At 42.6% G+C, this 5,904-nt stretch overlaps 1 pseudogene, besides 1 other annotated feature; it reads right to left on the reverse strand.

The window, feature by feature from the left end:
* Positions 3,039 to 3,208: an enhancer, noted in NCBI's record as "active region_28751". NCBI's record gives its function as "activates an Ori minimal core promoter by ATAC-STARR-seq in GM12878 lymphoblastoid cells {active_cell/tissue: GM12878}" and the evidence as "EXISTENCE:reporter gene assay evidence [ECO:0000049][PMID:35858748]".
* PPIAP88 (peptidylprolyl isomerase A pseudogene 88) lies at positions 4,654 to 5,119 on the reverse strand (annotated as a pseudogene).

Here is a 5,904-nt window from a genome sequence, read left to right on the forward strand (position 1 = left end):
CATCTCAAAACAAAACAAAACAAAACCATGGCTAAAGCTGGCCAACATAGTGTTTAATGCAGTAAACCCAAACCAAGAGAGTTCATGTTGTAATTTCATTTATAACAAGTTCATAAACTAGTAAAGCTACTCTATGGCATTACAAGTTAGGAAAGTAATGACATTTGAGGATGGTGGGCTATGGTGCAGGGCTTCTGGGGTACTGGATGTATGTTATCTTTCACTTTGTGAGGATTCAGACACCAGTGTGCGCCTTTCTATAGGCATCTTATACTTCAACACAAAGTTAACTTAAAAATTAATTCAATGTGACAACATACACTGAAGGCTTAACATATGCAGGGAATCTCATCCTGCATTGGTGTGGGAGCCAGATATCAGGGTAAGTAAGAATACAATGTGGCTACTGCCCTGGGGTAAGTTCAGGGATGGAGGGTAGGTAATGGGGGATGGAAAAGGATGGAGAGTCAAGCCTTCAACATTTTGCAAAGCATAGTGGGTGCCAAAGGACCACTGAATTTGCCTTGCCTGGGGGTTGGAGAAGTTGTGTTGGTTATTGAGTGCTAAGTAGGATTTCAACTACTGTGGTCAAGGAGCTGTTAGTGTTTTTTAGGCTAGAAAATAGAAACATATGAAACTAATGCGCTAAATTGTATTTTAAATGTGAAACAAGATTTAAGTTTAATTTAAGCCCTGACTGATTTCCTTAGAACACTGGGATAGTGGGTGTATTGTAATCTGGATGTTGAATTAAAAAATCTCTAAAACCTCTAATATAAGAAAAGTTGATATGTTGATCTCTTTATCGTCTGTTCTTGGGGACACTGAACAAGTTACTAACCAACGTCATTGGTTGGACGTGGCCTCACCAAAGAAGTAGTGAAATGAAGTTATATTTGTTAAAACAACAATTTAAAAAACTCCAAAAACCCAGGATTCCCTGGATAGTAAGGTATTACCAATGCAGCCCACGAGAGAGGTATACTCATAGGTAAGGTGGGGGGCGGGGGAAATGGTAGATACTATGAAGCAACCAGGGAAGGAGAGTTGGAATTTTCTGTCTAATTGTTGGCAATCTGGGGAAATCCCAAAGGACCAAATGTTCTGGAAGAAATTTTGTGCAATAAGAATGTCCCCAAACTGGCCGGGCGTGGTGGCTCATGCCTGTAATCCCAGCTACTTGAGAGGCTGAGGCAGAAGAATCGCTTGAACCCGGGGGGCAGAGGTTGCAGTAAGCTGAGACAGCTGAACTGCACTTCAGCCTGGGCGACAGAGCAAGACTCCATGTCAAAAAAGAAAAAAAGAATGTCCCCAGATTAGACCTTCAGTTTAATTCAGTCCTTCTGAGACGCCCCCAGCCCAGGAAAGGTAATTTGATTACTTCCTTAGAAATGTAAACCAACTCCATTCCACCACCTGTAGGTCACAGCCAGAGCCACAGCCAGTCAGGGGAGGACTTGGTTACTTACACAACGTGAAGGGAACTGCTATTTCAAAGCCACTTTATTGCAAAGCATCTCAGCCTGGAAAAAGTGTGTAATGGAAAGGACTCTAGAGACAGACAGATAAGGGCTCCAATTCTACCTTGGCCATTTACCCATTCTATGACCTTGGAATGCCACACCAAAACTTCTCCGTGCCTCAGTTTCCTTTTCTGAAAAATGAGGACAATCACATACACCTTAAACAACAGACACCTTGTTGTAAGAATGAACTTTACTATATTTAAATCACTTAACACAAAATCTGGCACATAACAGGCCTTCACTCAATAATCATAATATTATTATTTTCACAATGCTTTCTGGCTGATGTCATGCTGGACAATAAATGCAGCATTGAGCATCTCCTTTTCTAGGTCACTGTGTCCACAGTTAGAGAGAGAAGCCAAATGGCATGTTCACTTGGAGCCAGGCTCAGTCCTCAGGCAAACAATGGGAAATAGGCAATTAAGCAAGGAGTAGTGCCAACCTATTGATTGGTCTGTCTCTGCTTAAGAGCCCTGAAAACTCGATATGGTATGTTTTGAGCTTTTTTTCTTTTCTTTTCTTTTTTTTTTTCAGAATGACTAACAGTGAAAAATACATTTTGTGTTGATGTTAGTAATATGTGTTTATGGATAAAACAAACATTTCACAAGACAATACTTATTAACTGTAATGCACCCTGGCATTTTGTATTCTAAACTATTCTATTTCTCCATTTTAAAAAAAATGGTTGCAGGTCAGGCACAGAGGCTCACGCCTGTGATCCCAGCACTTTGGGAGGGCGAGACAGGTGGATCACCTGAGGTCAAGAGTTCAAGACCAGCCTGGCCAACGTGGTGAAACCCCATCTCTACAAAATACGAAAATTAGCTAGGCATGATGGTGGGTGCCTGTAATCCCAGCTACTCAGGAGGCTGAGGCAGGAAAATCACTTGAACCTGGCAGGCGGAGGTTGCAGTGAGCTGAGATCACGGCATTACACTCTAGTCTAGGCAACAGAGCGAGACTCCATCTCAAAAAAAAGAAAAGGTTGCAACCCACTAGATTGATTTTATTATTTATGAATGGATCAAAATTTGCAGTTTGAAAGACACTACTCTCATCCAGTTCCTCAGATGGAAGATGAGGAAACTGAGGCTCAGAAGGGGAAAGAGTTGCTTAAGTAAAATAGCGAGTGGCACAGGACTGAGCCGAGACATGTGGATCCCACAGCTCTAGCTTTTCCACAAACCACTTCATGGAGATGAACCTCCAGGTTCTGCTGTGTAAACAGTGGCACTTCTAACATGGTAGGTTAGAAGGGACTTTTTTTTTTTTTAATTGTAAAAGGGTCCACAAAAGCTCATAAGCACACAACCCTTGCAACAGCAGGCTCATTGCTAAAAGGAGACACTTGGCCAGGCACAGTGGCCCAGGCCTGTAATTCCAGCACTTTGGGCAGCCGAGGATGGAGGATCCTTTGAGCCTAGCAGTTCAAGACCAGCCTGAGCAACGTAGTGAGACTCCCTGTCTCTATAAAAATCAAATAAAAATAAAAATAAATAAAAAGAGGCACTAGGGTATTTTCTCTTGGAGTTCAGTGCTTCACCTTCACCTGCCAGTGTAAGCAGAAGTTTCATTTCTTTCCTAGCAGCCTCTAGAACAACCCAAGATGTGGTCAGAACTACTTGTTCCTCTTGAAGAACTAAGTGGTTCAAGATCTTGTCCTCCTTTCTGCAAACAGCAAGGCAGTTTGCCCATCTGCCCCCAGGCCTGCCACTGTTTGCAATGCTGAGAAAAAGATGTCAGACATTAAGGAGCTATCTTGACCGTGAGAGCAGGGGAGGCTGGTAAGATGACCTCACGGGCAGTTTCTGTTGTGGATTTCACTTTTCACAGGTTGCACTTTCACCTTGACAGAAAGGGAAGGCCAAAGTCTCCTTAGAGTTCACTTTAGATGGGGCTTCTGAATCTTTGCTCCATGCTCCCGAAGAATTTATTGCTGGTACCTTATTACTCTTTTCCCATTCTGCTTTTTATTCATGATTCCCATTCTAGTCATATTTACCCTATGAGGAATACACTCTGAATCTTGTTCATCTTGCTATGGGACTTGGCCCAGTAAATGTGGGTTAAATCAAAGTGAGCTATGAGATTTCCTAAGATTTTCATTCCCTTAAGCTAAATTTTGTCTTTTGGTTTTTTATTTAGAAAAGACATGGACCATTGCTCTTATATCCGCTGCCACTCTAAAGCCCAGGCATCAGATCTAAGTGGCTTCTAGGTCAAGTGTGGTGGCTCACGCCTGTAATCCCAGCACTTTGGGAGGGCGAGGCAGGTGGATAACTTGAAGTCTGGAGTTTGAGACCAGCCTGACCAACATAGTGAGACTCTGTCTCAAAAATAAATAAATAAATAAATAAAAAGATAAAAGTGTAATTTATAAATTAGGCACAGTAAGAGACTAACTTAAAGGAAGCACTTTACAGCTTATGTTTGGCATATTTAGACTGTCAGCATCACCATTCTTGCTCTTTGGGGACATTGTTAAGTAAATTAAGGATGACTTGAACACAAGCACTGAGTTACCACAGCAGTCTAATGGATCATGCAGACAGCTACTAAGTGGCTAATGGGTGTGTAGCCTGTGTCAATGCAGTGGACAAAGGAATGATTCATGTCCTCGCCGGACAGAGTGGGATAGTGAGAGATTTCATCACGCTACTCAGAATTGTGTGCAATTTAAAACATGAATTATTTCCAGAATGTTTCTTTTTGTTATTTTTAAAAAGTAAATATTTATTTACTTATTTATTGTTCGTTTTTAAAGATGAGGTCTTGCTCTATTGCATAGGCTGGTCTGAAACTCCTGGGCTCAAATGATCCTCTTGCCTCAGCCTTCCAAAGTGCTGGTATCATAGGCATGAGCCACCATGCCTGGCCTTTGAATATTTCTTCTCCTTTTTTTTTTTTTTATGTTATTTAGCTTTGATTTCACCATCATAAACTTAACTCTGCAATCCAGCTAGACATGGAAGGCAATAAGGAAGATATGGAACCCAGGAACTGCAGTGAGAGCACAAAGATCAGAGGATAGTGTGAGCAAATGAGGTGGAGGGGTACTCACCTGAAATACAGAAGGAATGGTCTGGTGGTTAAGATAAAACACAAGTCAAATTTATTAGCCAGCAATGGGGATCTTCTTGCTGGTCTTGCCATTCCTAGACTAAGAGTGCTCCATGGCATCCATGATATCCATGCTGTCCTTCACCTTGTCAAAGACCACGTGCTTGCCATCCGACCACTCAGTCTTGGTGGTGCACATGAAAAACTGGAAGCCTTTTGTGTTGGGTCCAGCATTTGCCATGGACAAGATACCAGGACCTTTGTGCTTCCGGATGAGGTTCTCATCATCAAATTTCTCCCCATAGATGAATTTGCCACCAGTGTCATTATGGCATGTGAAGTCACCACCCTAACTCATAAACTGTAGAATAATTCTATGAATTCAGGAACCCTTATAACCAAATCCTTTCTCTCCAGTGTTGAGAGCATGAAAGTTTTCTGCTGTTTTCGGAATTTTGTCTGCAAACAGCCTGAAGGAGACGTGGCCCGTGGACCACGATGTCAAAGAATATGGTGGGGTTGACTATAGCTGGTGGCAAGAGGCTCTGGATGGCACTGAAGTCTCCAAAGCTGGAATATTTCATTTAGTATTTTCAGACCTTTGCTGACCTCCGGTAGCTGAAACTGAAGAAGGCAAAGCCTCCAATAAGGGGGAGCTACTGTATTCTAAAGAAAGCAAACACGTAAATAAATGGGTAAACACAGCAAAATGTAAGCAAATGAGATAATGTGTGACAGTGTATACGTACGAAGAAAATAAAAAGGGGCTGGGCACTGTGGCTCACACTTGTAATCCTAGCACTTTGGGAGGCCGAAGTGGGCAGATCACCTGAGGTTGGGAGTTCGAGACCAGCCTGACCAACATGGAAAAACCCCGTCTCTACTAAAAATACAAAATTAGCTGGGTGTGGTGGCGCATGCCTGTAATCCCAGGTACTCAGGAGGCTGAGGCAGGAGAATTGCTTGAACCCAGGAGGCGGAGGTTGCAGTGAGCCGAGGTTGTGACATTGCACTCCAGCCTGGGCAACAAGAGTCAGACTTCATCTCAAAAAAAAATAAATAAATAAATAAAAGAAAATAAAAAGGATAATGAGATAGAATGCCAAGGTATTTTAGAAGTAGATAACATGAGCAGAGACCTGAGTTGCAAACACGGAAGTAGCTGGCAGAGCATGGCAGGCAGTGTTGAGAGAGGCCAGGAGAGCTGGACACCAGAATGCTTGCTGGCCCAGGAGGCAGGGGGAAAGGCAACTGGAAGGCGAAAGGTAACAACAGCTCAGTCCTACCTTGAGTATCTTCTATATTCATGGAA

The sequence above is a fragment of the Homo sapiens genome, chromosome 9, assembly GCF_000001405.40.
Source record: "Homo sapiens chromosome 9, GRCh38.p14 Primary Assembly".
In the NCBI taxonomy this organism is placed as follows: domain Eukaryota; kingdom Metazoa; phylum Chordata; class Mammalia; order Primates; family Hominidae; genus Homo; species Homo sapiens.